At 38.3% G+C, this 19,708-nt stretch overlaps 1 protein-coding gene and 1 long non-coding RNA gene across 9 annotated transcripts in view; one reads left to right on the top strand and one right to left on the bottom strand.

Moving 5' to 3' along the window:
* The window catches only part of ASXL3 (ASXL transcriptional regulator 3), a 172,977-nt gene extending 154,347 nt beyond the window's left edge, over positions 1-18,630 (top strand). For all 8 annotated transcript variants that reach the window (XM_005258356.2, NM_030632.3, XM_011526205.3 and 5 more), the window contains 3 exons: positions 1,745-1,850; positions 5,922-7,878; positions 10,323-18,630. In XM_005258356.2, coding sequence (XP_005258413.1) covers positions 1,745-1,850; positions 5,922-7,878; positions 10,323-14,030 — 5,771 coding nt within the window. In that variant the 3' untranslated portion in view covers positions 14,031-18,630. The remainder of the gene's footprint in view (positions 1-1,744; positions 1,851-5,921; positions 7,879-10,322) is intronic.
* Positions 8,907-11,496, bottom strand: LOC124904347 (uncharacterized). Its single transcript, XR_007066447.1, has 2 exons — positions 11,413-11,496; positions 8,907-10,725 (listed from the first exon to the last, which is right to left on the bottom strand). It is a non-coding gene; the product is annotated as an uncharacterized LOC124904347 (long non-coding RNA).

Below are 19,708 nucleotides of genomic sequence, written 5' to 3' on the forward strand. Positions count from 1 at the left end.
AATACTAGCCAGGCGTGGTGGCTCACTGGCCTGTTATCCCAGGACTCTGGGAGGCCTAGGCAGGCAGATCGCTTGAGCTCAGGAGTGAAGACCAGCCTAAGCAACATGGTGAAACTCCATGTCTACAAAAAATACAAAAATCAGCCAGGCATGGTGGTGCATACCTATAGTCTTCAGCAACTAGGGAGTCTAAAGTGGATGGATCACCGGGGCTCAGGAGGTCAAGGCTGCAGTGATCGACCTACTGATCATGCTACTGCACTCTAGCCAAGGCAACAGAGTGACACCCTGTCTCAAAAAAAAAAAAAAAAAAATTACTGATGGCAAATTCCAATTTTCTGTTCTCAGCCCTTACATTTCAAGTTCCTTCACCAATATCTCATTTGTTTTTTCACCCCATCCGACTTGAAACCATCTACGTTAGATTTTAAAAACAGATTATAAATTATTTTTCTTGGGCTACGTTTCTGCCAGCCCTTGCTCAGCTTTCATCAGGATCTCCTATTCTTCCATCTGATGCCTCCAGCATTTTATTTTCTAATCATAGTATTCCCTAAGCTGCCTCATTCACCACCTTGGTTTTAGCTATTGCCAGCGTGCCAAGAATTTTCAAATCTGGCTTTCACCCCCTTGCCTAATCCCCCTACTCCTTCCCCAGTGTTTTATTTTCAAATGCTTAGCAGATCTCACTAGCTAATAACAGGCACTTTTAACCAAAATGCCTAATATTAAATTCACGAGCTTCTCTTCCCTCTCAACTCCTTCTTCTGTTTCCTCTATTTCTGTAATGTCACAACTGTCCTCATAGTTCCTCAGTTTAAAACCTTACTGATGTCTTTGACCCTCTTCCTTTTCTCCACACCTATCTGGTCATGAACTGTTACTTGTACTTGACCCCTCTTCAGCATCCTGTTGCTACTGGCCCAGCTGTAATCTCCACCTTTCCTGTGTGGTATTCAGCAGTCCTATAACTGCAGTCCTCCAATTACTTCACTCTGTTGTCAGACCTGTTTTTCTACACAGCTTATTTGGCCATATTCCCTCCACACTGAATGCCACCAGAACCTCCCTCTGTCTCTCATAGAAAAATGAAGAAGTTTCTTTAGAACATCTATTGGGTAATTGGCCTCAGCTTTTATTTCCCATTTTATTTCTTGCTGTTTTACTCACAATTGGCCACTCAAAAGATCATAAACATATGGATTTGTATCTCTGTGCCTTGTGATTTAATTACTTTATAAAAGCCTGAGCAACCTTCAAAATCTAACTCAAGAATCAGCTCCTATATGTGGTCCTCCTTAATCGACCTAGGCAGAATTAAGCGCTTTACTTTCTATATTTCACTACATTTATTATTATGGCTTATACAGGGCTTCATACATTGTATTATAGTCTATTTCCAGCAGACTGATTTCCTTAAGGACAGTGAATATACGCTCTTTTATTTGTAGCCCCTAGCAGGTAATACATTTGCTAAATGCTTTAGCATTCTTCTAAAGCATTTAGCTTTAGCATTCTTCTAAAGCATTTAGCTTTAGCATTCTTCTAAAGCATTTAGCTTTAGCATTTTTATGAACATCTTGAGTGATGTTCATAAAAAGAGAAGATGTAGAAATGTTATCATTATTTGTCCTTGTACTTTTCAAGATCCATAAAAGTTTACTCAAATGAATTACATGTTTTCTTTATTAATTAGCAAAAGATGTGACCACATTTATTCAATACATTAGCATTTTCTTTTTAGGAGAGTTTACCCCAGAAATGCAGTTGCGGATAAGGCAAGAAATTGAGAAGGAAAAGAAAACAGAACCTTGGAAAGAAAAATTCTTTGAGAGGTTTTATGGAGAAAAGTAAGTACTAGAGTATTTTTTCTCATTTCTCTGAGAAAGAAATGAAAATGTAATTCTCTGCTTCACATAGCACACTCATATGCTGTAAAACTTAATAAACCTGTGATAAAAGGCAATAGTCCCTCAGTGTAAGAAATTGCAGATGAAATTATAGTGGGATATCAGCACTCAAATTTTTAAAAAATGCATTTTCAAGGGTTTATAACTTGTTCATGAAATTTTATTTTGGGCTGAAAATAGCACATGAAATCTTAAAGTAGTCACTTTTGAATTTCTTAATAGATTTGAGTAAAATTATCCTGTTTTCAAGTATGTTCATGAATTAATGCTTTATAGATAAATAATTTTAGTCATGTATTTAATTCTCACACTTTTCTAAAAATATTGACTGTGTCTAATGCATTTTAATCTTTGTTTAGTCCTTCTTTTGGGGAGAGCCTGAAATGTTATCTTTTGCTTTATCTTCCTCTTCAAATGTCATCTGTCTTTATTATCTGTATGTGTGCTGCTTTTTTTAAGTGACATGAGCGTTTACATCATAGCGTGGTAGCAAATGAACTAACCCTGAAAGCAGTTTCACCTTTGCCTCAGGTTTAACAGAGACACATTCTGCTTTGGCAATATTAGTGTCTTAGACAATCAGATCCCTAAAAAAGGAGGGGTTTAAGAACTTACTATTGACGGTCACTTCAGATCCCCCTTAGAGGAACTTATGCTCCAACTCCCACATACAAACCAATACTTGAAAGTTGTTATTTTGTGTAAAGGACACAGATGGTTGCAGGTAACAAGACCTATGTCATGTGATCTCATTTCACAAAATTACACTTGTAAATGGGGAAAAGAAAGACATGCCAGAAGGAGTCTCACGTGAGAGCTCTTCATGTAAAGAAATTAGATAATTAACAGACTGCTTGGAATAGGGTGCTCAGAGTATGCTACCCTTCATGAATTGTCCTAAATGGCAGTCCTTTTGAGTAGGAAGGCCTGTTTTTAATTGCTGTGCCAGGATATATATATTTTTAAGCAAAACCAAATAAAGATAATTAATGTCTTTTCTCAAAGATTAAAAATGTGACAAGCTAGTTGTTATATGTCTTCACATGAAGTCACCAACAATATCACTCAAGCCTGGCTGCATCAAAATCTAGGAGTTGAGCCCAGGAGTCTGTGTTTTGGAAGCTTTCCAGGTCATGCTGATGCCCAGCAGGATTAAGAACCCTGGAGGATAAGATTAAAGACCACTTAGGAGCCTTCTTCCCTCTGCTTTTGCCTATGAAAGAAAATGCGGGGAGCTCTCTTTTTAGTAATGGCAGAAGCATAACTGAGATAGTACCTCCAAAGCATTGGTTCTTAATTTTTTAGTGATAGACCCATTCTTTTATTAATTTAATGTATTTATCTAACATCTCCTCTGTGCCAGACACTCTCTTGGATGCCAGGGATGCAACTGTTTGTAGGACTACCTAAGCTCTGCTCCCAGAGAGCCTCAGTTCAAGGGACCTACATTACAGAGAGCTTTCTTTCATGCAAAAAATAATCATTGAGTATACACTGGCTCTGATGTGTTTCTAAGAGCTTTGCAAATATTTCATTTAATCCTCCCAACAATTCCATAAGATGGATACCATTATTCATAATTTTTTTAACTTAGGAAGCTGAGGGAAAGTGAAGCTAAGTAATTTCCCCAGGTTTATAACCGTGAGGTTATTAAATAACTTGCTTGGGGTCTTAATCCTGCAAATCCTTCTCAGAAAAATTCACATACATGCACAATTTTTGCATGAAACTTAGGGGCTTTCCAGATTCCCTTGGATATCAGATCTAGGGCCCCTTCCCTAGAAGATGACAGCTATGATATTATAAATAAACATGACCCCCTCATTGCCGTCACCAAGCTCTGAATACAAAGCATGCTTCTACTTAGCCCTTTTTTTTGCTGTAGTTTATCAGTAGCTTTTGTGCTCTCACATCACTGGACTTTTCTCTTGATCTTTTTTATCTTTCATCACATGTTGCATGGCAGATACATTTTGAACATTTCATTGACTGCCCTTCTTTGTTGCCCCCAGGTTACCTTTATTCCCCCACCACCAGCCAGTTTTTAGTTGACTGACACCACGTGCCTTTTCATTGCTGTACGCTTTTTCAAAAATGTGTCTAAACATTCATACTAGTGTGCAGTTAAGATCTGTCTGATTTAGTTTTCAATTTTTTTAGATATTTATTATGATTCTCACTTGCCTAATCTCTTTGTAATATATTATTGTATATTTGGTTTACATCACTTGTATAAATGCCAAGTATTACAGGGCTTGGCTTGTGAACTTGTGTCTAGATTTCTGGAGGCCAGGGTTTTCCTTTGCGTAGTATGGGGAACTGTGAACATCTTCCTCCTATGCCTTATGCAATCTTAAATCTATTTTTCCGTGAAAATAAGAAAATGTTGACATGGGTATATTTTATACAGTGCTGTTGTACATATACACTTACCTATATGTATATTTAATAATATTATTAACCAACTAGCAGAAATTTGGCTGCCAGTGGATAGATTTCTGAATGTTACATACTTATTCTAGTATCAGTGGTACCTCTGCTTGACCTAGTCCCAAGGAACCGTATTTCTTGCAGATTATTCTGCTTTAAATTTATCTGTAATGTTGTTTTTCTGATACTCTCAGTATAGTATAGTTATAAATTGTAGCTTAGTTTGAATTCATCTTAGAGAACATTGAAAGGAAAGAGAATATGTATGAAGGCAGTATTTTCTACCTTTTCAGAGATTTCTGAATTTAAATAAAGAAGGCTATGGCCAAATACCCAAAAACTGTATTCAACATTATTTCCCTTTCACATTGAGGATTTTTAAAAAGCAAAGGTTAAAGTGGTTTTCACTGAGGTATTGTTTGCATCAATGTTACCATGACTATATTTCTTCACTTAAATGTTCTTTTTCCTCTAGAAATGTTCTCTCTCCTGCTTATCTTTCTCATTGCCTTTACGCTAATTTAACTTCATTTAGAGCAGCATATTTCTCTACCATCTGATGCTGACAGTGTAAATTATATGATAGAAAACAGTGATTTACAGTACCCTTGATTGTAACTCTGATTAGATTTGCCTTAAGACCTGAACATCATGCTCAATTATTTCTTGATTTTCTGTACCTATCACGTATGGAATATCTTTACAGTAAGAGATCTGCATAAAAGAATTTAAAAGTCTTGCTTCACACAAATGTAAGCTGGTAGAATAACTTTGATAACCCCAAATATGTTCTGTTATTCTTTAATGAAATTTGCATGTTGTCTTAGGTTAGACAGTTAGATGCCAAAATAAGGTGATTGAGTAATACTTCTTAGATTAGTTTACAAAAACCAATCTTTGGAACTCATTTCAATTTCAGAATTTGATGAATTTCATTCATCTTCCGTTCATCTTAATTTCTTGGTTTTCTTACATCCTCTGAAAACTATATAATTTTCTATTATAAGAGCATCTTTCTACTTGCAGATTTAAAAAATATATATTTTATACGTTATTTTGCTTTTCTGCTCATATTTTCTAATACTTTGTTGTATGTAATTTTCTTATTCCTTTATTAACACTTGGTAAGGCTCGTATCTCCTTACTTTACAAAATAAAAATCTAGACTGTTCTTAACCAGCAGTAGAGTTTTAGTTGAGATTATAAAAGCAGCAAAGAAGCATCATCATTATAAACTGGTTTACATAAATTAAGCATGTTAGTGATTATAAATATTTTCTAATACTTTGTTGTATGTAATTTTCATATTCCTTTACTAACACTTGGTAAGGCTCCTATCTCCTTGCTTTACAAAATAAAAATCTAGACTGTTCTTAACCAAAAGCAGAGTATTAGTTGAGATTATAAAAGCAGCAAAGAAACATCATCATTGTAAACTGGTTTACATAAATTAAGCATGTTAATGATTATAAATGTAATTTGATGCATTTACTTCTATTGAATACTACATTCATGAGAGATCCCAGTTGTACCTTTTATGTTTTGTGGTTGAGCAATAATTTATTTCTAATTTCTGTACAGGCTGGGCATGTCAAGAGAGGAATCTGTGAAGCTCACTACTGGACCAAACAACGCTGGAGCTCAAAGTAGTTCTTCATGTGGGACTTCTGGCCTTCCAGTTTCTGCACAGACAGCCTTGGCAGAACAACAGCCAAAAAGCATGAAAAGCCCAGCTTCTCCAGAGCCTGGTTTCTGTGCTACTCTTTGCCCTATGGTAGAAATTCCACCTAAAGATATAATGGCAGAATTGGAGTCAGAGGATATCTTGATCCCTGAAGAATCTGTAATTCAGGAGGAAATTGCAGAAGAGGTAGAGACTAGTATCTGTGAATGCCAGGATGAAAATCATAAGACAATACCTGAATTTTCTGAGGAGGCTGAAAGTCTAACCAATTCTCATGAAGAACCCCAAATAGCACCTCCTGAAGATAACTTGGAATCCTGTGTTATGATGAATGATGTTTTAGAAACTTTGCCTCATATTGAAGTTAAGATAGAAGGGAAGTCAGAATCACCCCAGGAAGAAATGACAGTTGTTATCGATCAGTTAGAAGTCTGTGACTCTCTTATTCCTTCCACTTCATCTATGACTCATGTCAGTGACACAGAACATAAGGAGTCAGAAACTGCAGTAGAGACCAGTACCCCCAAAATAAAAACAGGGTCATCTTCTCTAGAAGGCCAGTTTCCAAATGAAGGAATTGCTATAGATATGGAGCTACAGAGTGACCCTGAAGAACAGCTTTCAGAAAATGCCTGCATCTCTGAAACGTCCTTTTCTTCTGAGAGCCCAGAGGGAGCCTGTACCAGCCTGCCTTCTCCAGGAGGGGAAACACAGTCCACATCAGAAGAATCATGTACTCCAGCCTCCCTTGAGACAACATTTTGTTCTGAGGTATCTAGCACTGAAAATACAGACAAATACAACCAGAGAAATTCCACTGATGAAAACTTTCATGCATCTTTGATGTCAGAAATATCTCCAATATCCACTTCACCTGAAATATCAGAAGCATCTCTTATGTCCAACTTACCATTAACATCTGAAGCATCACCAGTATCCAACTTACCTTTAACATCAGAAACCTCACCGATGTCTGACTTACCTTTAACATCAGAAACTTCTTCAGTGTCTTCCATGCTTCTCACCTCTGAGACCACTTTTGTATCCAGTTTGCCACTTCCTTCAGAAACATCTCCAATTTCCAACTCTTCCATAAATGAGAGAATGGCACATCAGCAAAGAAAGTCACCTTCTGTATCTGAAGAGCCACTCTCCCCGCAGAAAGATGAGTCTTCCGCCACTGCCAAACCTCTGGGAGAGAACCTTACCTCCCAGCAGAAGAATCTGTCTAATACTCCCGAACCCATCATAATGAGTTCTTCTTCCATTGCTCCTGAAGCATTTCCGTCTGAAGATTTGCACAATAAGACCCTGAGTCAGCAAACCTGTAAATCACATGTTGACACTGAGAAGCCCTACCCTGCTTCAATTCCAGAACTTGCTTCTACTGAAATGATAAAAGTTAAAAATCATAGCGTCCTGCAAAGAACAGAAAAAAAAGTGTTACCTTCACCATTGGAATTATCTGTCTTTTCTGAAGGGACAGATAATAAGGGAAATGAGCTTCCATCTGCTAAATTACAGGACAAGCAATATATCTCATCAGTGGATAAGGCTCCATTTTCAGAAGGCTCTAGAAATAAAACACATAAGCAAGGGAGTACACAGAGTCGGTTAGAAACCTCACATACTTCCAAGTCATCAGAGCCCTCCAAGTCACCTGATGGGATAAGAAATGAAAGTAGAGATTCAGAGATATCAAAGAGAAAAACTGCAGAGCAACACAGCTTTGGAATCTGTAAGGAAAAGAGAGCTAGGATAGAAGATGATCAGTCAACCCGGAACATATCATCTAGCAGCCCACCTGAGAAAGAACAGCCTCCCAGAGAGGAACCAAGGGTTCCCCCTCTCAAGGTATGGTATTAAATAAACAAAAGGCAATTCCGTAGATAGGCTTTTCCTATTTAGAAGCCTAATTTTTCAAGAGTAATTAGATTTTCTTCCTTCTAGGTTTTATGCAGCAGTTTATAATCTAATCCTCTAATAGTAAATGATCCTCTTTATGACTATGTACTGAATTCATAAAAGCAGTTTAGATACATGCATATGTTTAGACCCAGCATTAAAGGAAAAAGAATTGAGAGAGAATAGGGCCTGGAAATGTCTCCAGGCCACTGAGACACCTGGGTTTATGGGGATTTCAAGGTGTAGTACAGAGACCTATGTAAACCTGGGAAAATGTGAAAGATAATTTAGTTTTCTATAAAAGTTCTTTAGAGAACTTACACCATAAACCCAGTGTAATTTTTTCTAAGTTTCTGCTCTCTGTCACTTATACTGACTTGATGCTTTTATCTAAGTGCATTTATACTGTTGTACAGTAAAGTGGATTATTCCATCATAGCATTGGTCTAGAATTATAAACATCTCAAGCTTTTTAAATTAAAAATATTATGCTTTATATGTAGATATAAAATCTACAAAATTTTCATTTTATGTATGACTCATGTTCTCCACAGGCTGACTTTAAAATTATGGTTGTACTTACTCTTTTTAATAAAGCAGTCTCTAGTAAGCAAGATTCTAGAGGTGTAAAAGATGAGCATTAAGTTCAATTAAAAACTTACTATGCATTTTAATTTCCGAAGCAATAGAAATAATAATATAAACTTTCCATAGGAGATATTTTTAAACATGCCAGTCTGTCAAAAGCTTATTTTCAAAGTCATATGGACTTTATGTAAAGATAGATAGATAACAACATGAGGGAAATTTGTAGTCATGGAAATGTTCTGAATCTTAATTGCATCAATGTCAGTATCCTGGTTGTGATATGTTAGAATCTTGCAAGATGTTACTATCTTGCCATATTATTGAGCATATTAATTAATAAATTAAGCACTGATGTGAAAAAAAGGTAAATACTACAAGAATATTTGATGTTTGGTCTTAAGAGCTCTTGCTTAAGGATATTTAAGTTTATTTAAAATATGTTTAATTTTTTACATAGGAGAAATATTAAAAGAGCAAATTGAATCTTCTCCTCAAAACTATCTTTTCTTTTTTTGGCCTTTGGAATAGAACAGAGACTTCACAAGCAGTTTGAAAATGAGAAACAAGATAGCTCAGGAAGACAATTTCATCCATCAAAGTTCCAAAGCATAATTCTAAATTGATATGTATAATCTGGAGAAAAAGGAAACAGAATACATGGAAACACCACCAAATGGGAAGTCCAAAGGCTCTAGTCACTCACTAGTTATATAATCCCAAGGCAAACTACTTTACCTGCACAGCCTCAGTTTCCTCAACTGTGAAATGAGGGATGTCAACTAGAGTCTTTCCAGCTCTACACAGCCATGACTAAGAATGCTTTTAGTGACTAGAGCAACACAGCCTTGCTATGGAATGCTGGCTGTTAGACCTTGTGCCTCATGAATTTGGTGATGACTCTGCGAGTCTCTTAATTACCAAGAATTGGTAAACAGTATGGGTTGGGACGTTTACAAAATTCAGCAGATTGTGGATTACCAATATCAAAAGAAACTGCCCAATGCATAAATCCTTTAGAGACAGAAAATCAGAGTTTCCCTTGCTTTTATGCAAATGCAATGATAATACAATCCCTTTGGAAAACAGAACACGCTGACAAATGTAGTCTCATTCCATCTTTAAAACAGCCCTTTGAAGGAAATAGATCAGAAATAACTAGTCCCATTTTACAACTGAGTTTACAAACTTCTCTTGTGTTCTTATATGTATAAAGCAGCATGCAAGGTAGCATAGGAGTGCATAAAAATCATAGAGTTCTTGGCTCAGAGAGATTATTGGAGAAACTGAGGTACACAATGATTAGCCTAGGATCACAAAGTTCCTTTGTGTAAAGTCAAAATGAGAATTCTAGTTGTCAATATCTCAGTCAGGGCTTTTTTCTTTGGGTCAAATTAAGACAGACAAACTCAAATAGAGTTGAAGTTCCACTTTTTTATGCCACTAAAAAAGATATTTCAAAATTAAATATCTTGAAGTCTTTCTTTTTAGCCTACTACACTTCTAGAAGCATGAATTTTGTATCCATTTGTATGATGCATTAAGAAGATTCTTCATTTCCATGCCAAATGAAGTTACAATGGATGTTTTTGTAGATTAAAAAACAGATTAAAAACTTAATTTTTTCCATTCATACTACGTTTCTTATTGCTTTATGCCCTAAGGGTGCATCCAGGGATTTAGGTGTAGTTCATGGCATATTAGGAGAGAATGCAGCTAGTCTTTTCCCTTGCATTATCACATTCTACGTGCCTCCTCTGTGATCATGTATGAAGCACATTATATTTTTTTTTCTGTCCTCCTTTTAGATTCAGCTTTCCAAAATTGGGCCACCTTTTATAATCAAGAGCCAACCAGTCTCCAAACCTGAGTCTCGAGCATCCACTAGCACATCTGTCAGTGGCGGGAGGAACACAGGAGCCAGGACCCTCGCAGATATCAAGGCCCGGGCCCAACAAGCTCGGGCCCAGCGAGAGGCTGCTGCAGCTGCTGCTGTGGCTGCTGCAGCGAGCATTGTCTCTGGAGCCATGGGAAGTCCAGGAGAGGGTGGAAAGACGAGAACTCTGGCACACATCAAAGAGCAGACAAAGGCTAAGCTCTTTGCAAAGCATCAAGCTCGAGCCCATCTCTTCCAGACCTCTAAAGAGACCCGGTTGCCTCCTCCGCTCAGCTCAAAGGAAGGGCCTCCAAACTTAGAAGTCTCTTCTACCCCTGAAACAAAAATGGAAGGTTCGACTGGTGTCATTATTGTCAATCCAAACTGTAGATCTCCTAGCAACAAGTCTGCCCACCTCCGGGAGACCACCACTGTACTACAGCAGTCTCTTAACCCAAGTAAACTTCCAGAAACTGCCACTGACTTATCTGTGCATAGTTCTGATGAAAACATACCTGTGTCACATTTATCTGAGAAAATTGTTTCATCTACCTCTTCTGAAAATAGCAGTGTGCCCATGCTTTTTAATAAAAATTCTGTCCCTGTATCTGTTTGCAGCACTGCTATATCGGGAGCAATTAAAGAACATCCCTTTGTGAGTTCTGTTGATAAATCCTCTGTCCTAATGTCTGTTGACAGTGCAAACACTACAATTTCTGCTTGTAATATAAGCATGTTAAAAACCATCCAGGGAACTGACACTCCATGCATAGCCATTATACCAAAATGTATTGAAAGCACTCCCATTTCAGCCACTACAGAGGGCTCCAGCATATCAAGCTCCATGGATGATAAGCAGTTACTAATATCAAGCAGCAGTGCTAGTAACTTAGTCTCCACTCAGTACACCTCTGTGCCAACTCCCTCCATCGGAAACAATTTGCCAAACCTCTCCACTAGCTCTGTCTTGATTCCCCCAATGGGAATTAACAACAGATTTCCTTCTGAGAAGATAGCCATACCTGGGAGTGAAGAACAGGCCACTGTATCCATGGGTACCACTGTGAGAGCAGCCCTCAGCTGCAGTGATTCTGTAGCGGTCACAGACTCTCTGGTTGCACACCCGACCGTCGCAATGTTTACTGGAAACATGCTGACAATAAACTCTTATGATAGTCCTCCCAAGTTAAGTGCTGAAAGCTTGGACAAAAATTCAGGGCCTCGAAACAGGGCAGATAATTCTGGAAAACCTCAGCAACCACCAGGGGGCTTTGCACCAGCAGCCATAAACCGATCAATTCCGTGTAAAGTCATCGTTGACCACAGCACCACGCTGACCTCCAGTTTGTCTCTGACTGTCTCCGTTGAAAGCTCAGAAGCCAGCTTGGACCTGCAGGGCAGACCAGTGAGGACAGAGGCATCCGTACAGCCCGTGGCGTGTCCTCAGGTGTCTGTGATTAGCAGGCCTGAGCCAGTTGCCAACGAAGGTATAGATCACAGTTCCACTTTCATTGCTGCTTCGGCAGCAAAACAAGACAGTAAAACATTGCCGGCCACCTGCACAAGTCTCCGAGAATTACCCCTTGTTCCAGATAAATTAAATGAGCCGACTGCTCCCAGTCATAACTTTGCTGAGCAGGCACGTGGCCCAGCTCCTTTCAAAAGTGAAGCAGACACAACCTGTAGCAATCAGTATAACCCAAGTAACCGGATTTGCTGGAATGATGATGGGATGAGGAGCACAGGACAGCCTCTGGTTACTCACTCGGGTTCAAGTAAACAAAAAGAATATCTAGAGCAAAGCTGTCCAAAGGCTATCAAAACTGAACATGCCAACTACTTGAACGTGTCAGAACTTCATCCCAGGAATCTTGTAACAAATGTTGCTCTTCCTGTGAAATCTGAACTTCACGAAGCAGACAAGGGCTTTAGAATGGACACTGAAGACTTCCCTGGCCCTGAGCTGCCTCCTCCGGCTGCAGAGGGAGCCTCTAGTGTACAACAAACACAGAACATGAAAGCTTCCACCTCAAGTCCCATGGAAGAGGCTATTTCCTTGGCTACCGATGCCCTGAAGAGAGTCCCTGGTGCAGGGAGCTCAGGCTGTCGTCTGTCCTCTGTGGAGGCTAACAATCCGCTGGTGACGCAGTTACTACAGGGCAACCTGCCTTTGGAAAAAGTGTTGCCACAGCCCAGATTGGGAGCCAAGCTTGAAATCAACAGGCTTCCATTGCCTCTTCAAACTACCTCAGTGGGTAAAACAGCACCAGAGAGAAACGTTGAAATTCCGCCCAGCTCTCCAAATCCAGATGGTAAGGGCTACTTGGCAGGGACTCTGGCACCACTCCAAATGAGAAAGCGAGAAAACCACCCCAAAAAGAGAGTAGCTAGGACTGTAGGAGAACACACTCAAGTTAAATGTGAACCAGGAAAATTGTTGGTGGAGCCAGATGTTAAAGGGGTGCCTTGTGTCATCAGTTCCGGCATCAGTCAGCTAGGACACAGCCAGCCATTTAAGCAAGAATGGCTAAACAAGCACTCCATGCAGAACAGAATTGTTCACAGCCCTGAGGTCAAACAGCAAAAGCGGCTGCTCCCCTCGTGTAGCTTCCAGCAGAACCTATTTCATGTTGACAAGAATGGCGGCTTCCACACTGACGCTGGTACCTCACACAGACAGCAGTTTTACCAAATGCCTGTGGCTGCCAGGGGCCCCATTCCTACTGCAGCTCTGTTACAGGCCTCTTCCAAGACCCCAGTGGGGTGTAATGCATTTGCCTTCAACAGGCATCTTGAACAGAAGGGATTGGGAGAGGTTAGTCTTTCCTCAGCACCTCACCAGCTAAGGTTAGCCAACATGTTATCCCCCAATATGCCCATGAAAGAAGGTGATGAGGTGGGAGGCACTGCACACACAATGCCAAACAAAGCACTAGTACATCCGCCGCCGCCACCGCCTCCCCCTCCCCCTCCACCCTTGGCTTTGCCCCCGCCTCCCCCCCCACCACCTCCGCTACCTCCACCTCTCCCTAATGCAGAAGTCCCATCTGATCAAAAACAACCTCCAGTTACCATGGAAACCACTAAGAGACTTAGTTGGCCACAGTCCACGGGCATATGTAGCAATATAAAATCGGAACCTCTTTCTTTTGAGGAAGGTTTAAGCAGCAGCTGTGAACTGGGCATGAAACAAGTTTCCTATGACCAGAATGAAATGAAAGAACAGTTAAAAGCATTCGCGCTAAAAAGTGCAGATTTCTCTTCCTATTTGCTTTCTGAGCCACAAAAGCCTTTTACCCAATTAGCTGCTCAGAAAATGCAGGTGCAGCAACAACAGCAGCTCTGTGGAAATTATCCAACAATACACTTTGGTAGCACGAGTTTCAAAAGGGCAGCATCTGCAATTGAAAAGTCCATTGGGATTTTGGGAAGTGGCTCCAATCCTGCCACAGGCTTGTCTGGTCAGAACGCTCAGATGCCCGTTCAGAACTTTGCCGACAGCAGCAATGCAGATGAATTGGAACTGAAATGCTCTTGCCGGCTGAAAGCCATGATTGTGTGCAAAGGCTGTGGGGCCTTCTGCCATGACGACTGCATAGGTCCTTCAAAACTTTGTGTAGCATGCCTGGTTGTACGATAAGAGCTGAGTGAAAGATGCAGTATCCCTTTTCCACACGGAAAAGCCAAATAGCATCAGCAACAACAAATAGAATAATGCAGTGGTTTCTATCATGCTAATTTATTTTGCTTTGGAGCAGGTACCTTTCCTCTATGGCATTATTTTCTTGCATTTCTCATAAAGGGGAGGATGCATCCCAACTGAATGGCTCACTGGCATGTCTTTTATGTGTTCAGTTGCCATTCCTAGCTTTGGAAAGTTTCTATCTGTCCATGTGTATACAAGTCAATGCCCCATTTTTGTTTTTCTTTTAACCGAGGTGTAGATAGGAAAAGGACATTTTTAATTACTTAATAACCGGAAATGCAGATGTGTAAGGAGAATGAGAGGAATGAGTTAAAGTGGTTATGCATTTTTCTATAGATGAGCCATTACAGCAAGGAATTTTACAGTTGACTTCTCTGAACCTAGCTTTACCACAGTGATTAAATCCTATTTAGAAAGGGGAATCTGATTTAAATGTGTGATTCCTTGTATTTGCTCCTATCACAAAAGATATATTAAAGGAGGTATGCCATTAATGAAATCCACTGTCCTGAGTATTATCTTTCCTCCTGTTGTACTTTCTCAGAGACTATGGCAGAATATCTGGATCTTCCTTGGATTTTGTACACATATTGTAGTGAAATGTGTCCTACATCTGAAATTGCATGGGACTCATGCCCAGCAATCTGGTTCTAGGCCTTTGACACCTGATAATATGAGAGCAATTGGCCAGCCAATAGCCATAAGCCCAGAGGATTTTAGAGCTTCATGTGTGGCTTTTAAGAGCAGGTTTGAAAAAAAAAAAAAAAAGACCCTAAACTTCAAAGCAAGGAAATAAGATGCTGTATATGCACACATAAATGCATTGATAATGTAAATATCCTATTCACGCTAATGAATTACTAGATATTAAAAGTGGGGGGTGGAAATCATTGTAGCCCTTTATTGATGACACCCATTCATTCTGGCTTCAGACCTTGCAGAGGTTGGCCATATCTTTTTAAAAGTGTCATTGATGATAAAAGGGACTACCCAAGGCTAAAGCGTCAACATTTTTCAGAACAATTGCTTTTCTCATTATTTACAACCTATATAATTCAACTTTGAAATAACCCTTATTTTGAAAAAAACTGTTCTAGGTATGGCATGTTTTGTTTTTTCCCTCAGGTATATTCAATACATTCTTCATATTTGGGGGAACTGCTTTTGAAAAAGGGATACTGCATCTTAACAGTTATCTTCAGTGTGCATCCAGTAAAGTCTGCGTGTTGAGTATTTGAGCTACATTCCATATATTTTGGCCACCCTCATACCAGAGGACAGCCGTAGTTCAGGAGGCTCTGTTTTCAAAAGCAAGTTCAAAAGCACATGCACATTGAGGGAAGATGAAAGAAAACAAAAACCAACCATGCCCATTTAACTTCAGATTACAGAGCACAAAATGTGGAGTGCCATTAACCCATTGATTGATTGTGGCTGTAGAATTTAAAAAGCAAACATGGGGGGGGTGGGGAATCATCTGTATCCAGGGTAAGAATGACCAATATTTTCACATGGGATCATCCTAATCACTGTAAACTTTTTGACATTCCCGTAAAACACGTCTTAAAAGTTGACTGGAATGAGCAGAAATTACATTCCTGAAAACAAGAACACTTGTGATTTTTTTATAATAACCAACTATATAATATGTTTTTTTCTCCGTATTTATTGTGATGTTGCCAAATTTCTTTCTTTAGGTGATAGAGACATCATTTCGAATAACAAATTGCTGATAGTGAGAGGTACTTTACTTTATCTTAGAAAGAAAGAAAAGGCCTGCTGCTGTAGCCATGATTTTGGTGCTTCAGTACTGTCATTTCTGTTTTTCACAGTAAAATTGGCAAAACTAATGACTGAGAAAGTTAGTTAGCAATGCACTTAACCAGCCTTACCCGAGGAAAGCAGCATAAGTTCCAGTGGATCCTTAGTTTTCTCTTCACTGCCTGCCAGGTTGTGTTGGGGTGGCATCCTTATCAGTGGTGTCTTTGTCTGCCTGGCTCTGATATCATCCTGATTTCGAAGATCATGCTGTTAGTCTCACAGCGGGGCACCCCTATAATATAGACACTTGCATGCCAACTCCTTCCAAATTCATTCACTGCTATACCAGTGTCAGATACTGTCTACACCAGCAAATTGAAAACCATCACATCAGTAACTGACATGGTGTCGGAAGAAACTCCAGTCTACAGAACCTTTGCACTCAGTATGTGAGGTACAATTGAGGCTGATGAGATACTGAGCTCATTATCAGTTCCTTCATTGTTGAATACTGCCTGCAAGTTGCTTATTGGGAATAAGAAAAAGTGTCCTTCTGTATGTTTTGATTTTTCACATAACAGGCTTGGAGAATCAGTTGTTGATAGTGCATGGATTCTATCATCCAGGTCCGATTAGCATAATTTTTCTGCGCCCTTTTTTTTTTTTTTTTTGCTCCAGTTCAAATTCCTAGTGTTCTCATATGGTTTATATTACTGAAAAATTAATATCTTTAAGCTAAAATATAAGGGAAAGGAAGAAGAGAAATTTAGATGTAAAATGTGGGTCAGATATTTTATAGGTTTCCATTTAATATATATATACACACAAAATCCAGTATATTCTGAGTAGGTTCTTAGTTTTCTGATTTCTACATGTGTCTGCTATGTGCAAATGTAGTATATTATTTACTACATGGTTATTGTGGTGTAGTGTGCAAATGTTAGCATGTGCATTATCCTGATTACTGGACACAGTTTTATTCTTATCAGGAATAGAACTTGCACATGTACCATACAATTTTTTTTTTTTTAATCACAAAGGATGTATTTCCCTAAGTAGCACTTTTGGAGCAGGGGAAGGAAGAAAACTGCTATTCCCTAATCCTCCTCCTATAAGATATGCATATGCCTGAGGTGTATAAAGACATTTAGGTTAGTTAATGGGCATGTTAATAAGAGCATTGTGATGCAAATTCATTTTCAAAATGAAAATAATTTTTTCTTCCCCAAAATGAGAATAGTAGAAATTTTGGTGAACTGAGCACCATAGTTATATAATATTTCCCTGCGAAGGTCTAGTTTGAAGAAAAAAAAAACTTGAAAACAAACCTATGAGGTTGAGCCTGGTTGCTATAAAGACTTTGGGATGGTATGTGTTTCTGGGATGAGCTATATAGAAAGTTTAGTTGACTGCTGGACCTTGGATATTCTTACTCGGTTCAAAATACACAAAAACAAGCTGGTACATATGGTGCTTTATAATGCAGTCGAGAGTAAGAATACATGTTGCTGTAGCCCCATTTCCTTTACAAACCCCCGCACAATTTCAAAAGTGGAAGTTACCGTGGCCTCTGGTTTCCCAGTTCCTCCGTGGTGTAATGAAGTCCCAGGTTTTAGAAGCTGAAGCCAAGCCTAGGGTAGCATCGTCTGTACGGTGGTGAGGCCCAGCACAGCGGTAGCTGCCTAGTGGGAATGACCCCCTGAGCATGCAGAGCCCAGAGTCACTGTCCATCTGCGTTCCCAGAGAACAATTGTGAAGAGTCCTAGAACAGGAACTCTGAATCAGACTGTCAGGGGCCTATGTAGCCAAAATGTTACTAAATATAAAATTCCTGTCGTCTTCAGTCTTCATGCTTTGTCACTGTAAAAAGAACAAAAAGCATTTTTACTATAATTTAAAGGAGCTGCTTTTTTATAGCACATACTATTTCGCTTTGTACTATATTTGATAGTTGCAGAATAATTTAGACTGTAGAAAAACTTTGTTGTATTTGTACTGTTCTTGAATGTTTCAAAGAAAGTGCTTTACTTGGTTGCCATAATTTTCTTGTACTGCTGTATTCCCCTCCTTCCCCTGCTTCATGGAAACCTGATATGATACATATTTTCAGTAGTTTTTTTTTTTTAATGTGTGTTCGTTTGTACAATTTTTTTTTTTTGGTCAGTATTCTGAATGTTTACATCTGTTTGACATTAGCCATTTAATGCCTTTTTTAAAGGCGGTATTACTCCTACAGTGTAACAGCAAAATGTGAAATCAACCCAAACATAACATGCATGACAAACACAGATTGGGGGCGAAGGCCCTGAACCTACATAGACATTTTATATCAGCATACAGAAAAGTAAAATCCTCCTTCAGTCCTCTACCAAAGAATATATTATTCCCACAGGAAAAACTCAGAAAAGGTGTGTAAAATCCTCAGAAGGGGGAGCAGTTGATTCAGTAAGACTGCGACAATTTAATACTGTTACGCTTGCTTTGATACCTGACTAAATGTGACTGAGTGCAACAAGCATTTAAGAAAATTTTTAGACAGTGTTTTGTTTAGAATTCAGGGATCATGCATTCTTTAATGGTGCTGTTTGTTTTTTATTTCTTTTCTACAAAGAAAACAAGTGTTGCCTACAAAAGTGACTGCTCACAATACCATAAGTTAAATGAAATGAAATGTTTGTCTCTTCATGTTTCTCTGTCTTTCCCTTTCTCAAAGTAACAACTTGGGTTTCAATATTAAGATATTCTGGAGAAAATAAAGAAATTAAACATGAAATAATTGTCATTTTTAATTTTTTAATGAAATGAAGTAATTTATATATGTTAAATGTACTAATAATTGGAAATTCTATTTAAAATTTATAGGGACAACTTAAACCATATACTCTTAAATTACCCACGCTTCTTTTTGGTAATGGTGACTTGTCAACATATGGTTATAACTATGGTTAAAACAGGAAAAGCTAAAACTGAAACTTCAGAAATTGTAGCTGTTACTCTTATCATTTAAGACTATATTTGGACTTTCTGTTTTCATTAAGATCTTAATTTTTTATACCAAAAAGCATTCAGGTAAACAAATTGTTACTATCACATGTATTTTTAACTTTCAAAATGAATAATTCAGAAAATGATCCCTTAGAAGAATTGCTTTGGTTAATTTTTTAAAATCCTACATGAAATATTGTAACTAGAGTTACTTGAATGAAATGCTGTGAGCCATTAAAACAAAATTGCTTCAGTTATATTTACATAGGTTAAAGAAATACGCATATCTTTTCAGTAAGATGGATCAAAGCATTAAACACAGTTGGCTGTTAAATCTCCTGTTTTTCATCTACACAGAAGATGTTGTGTTTAGCCACCAGATGGCGAAAGAGGATATTTACTTTTGTAGGAAAAAAGAAAATACTTTTTCCTCCTACAAAAACCAAATTTAATAATATTAAAAGTCAAATTTATTCAGGTAAGCCAGTAGAGGATGGATATTTCTACATTAATTACATTATTTTCACGACAATGATGATGCTTTTTTGTTCCACTGTTTTTTCTACTAACATATTTACAAAATGCTTTCTTAATTTTATTTAGAATTGCAGTTTGTTTTAAAAATTTTTTCTCATTGCATTACCCCACAGGCATTATCTAGTCCAAAACCTATTAGGATAAAACTGAACAGCTCAGCATTCTCTAAGCTGTCGCTTAGTGAAACTTATCTGAATGCTTGTGTGTTTTTATTTTCATAAAAGTACAATGACACAATTCTTGTATAAATGTGCCATTATTTTTAATACAATAATGTAGCCTAATTTGAATTATAATTTATGTTAGGATCTAAAGTATTTATTTGTATC

Source organism: Homo sapiens, chromosome 18 (assembly GCF_000001405.40).
Source record: "Homo sapiens chromosome 18, GRCh38.p14 Primary Assembly".
Classification (NCBI taxonomy): domain Eukaryota; kingdom Metazoa; phylum Chordata; class Mammalia; order Primates; family Hominidae; genus Homo; species Homo sapiens.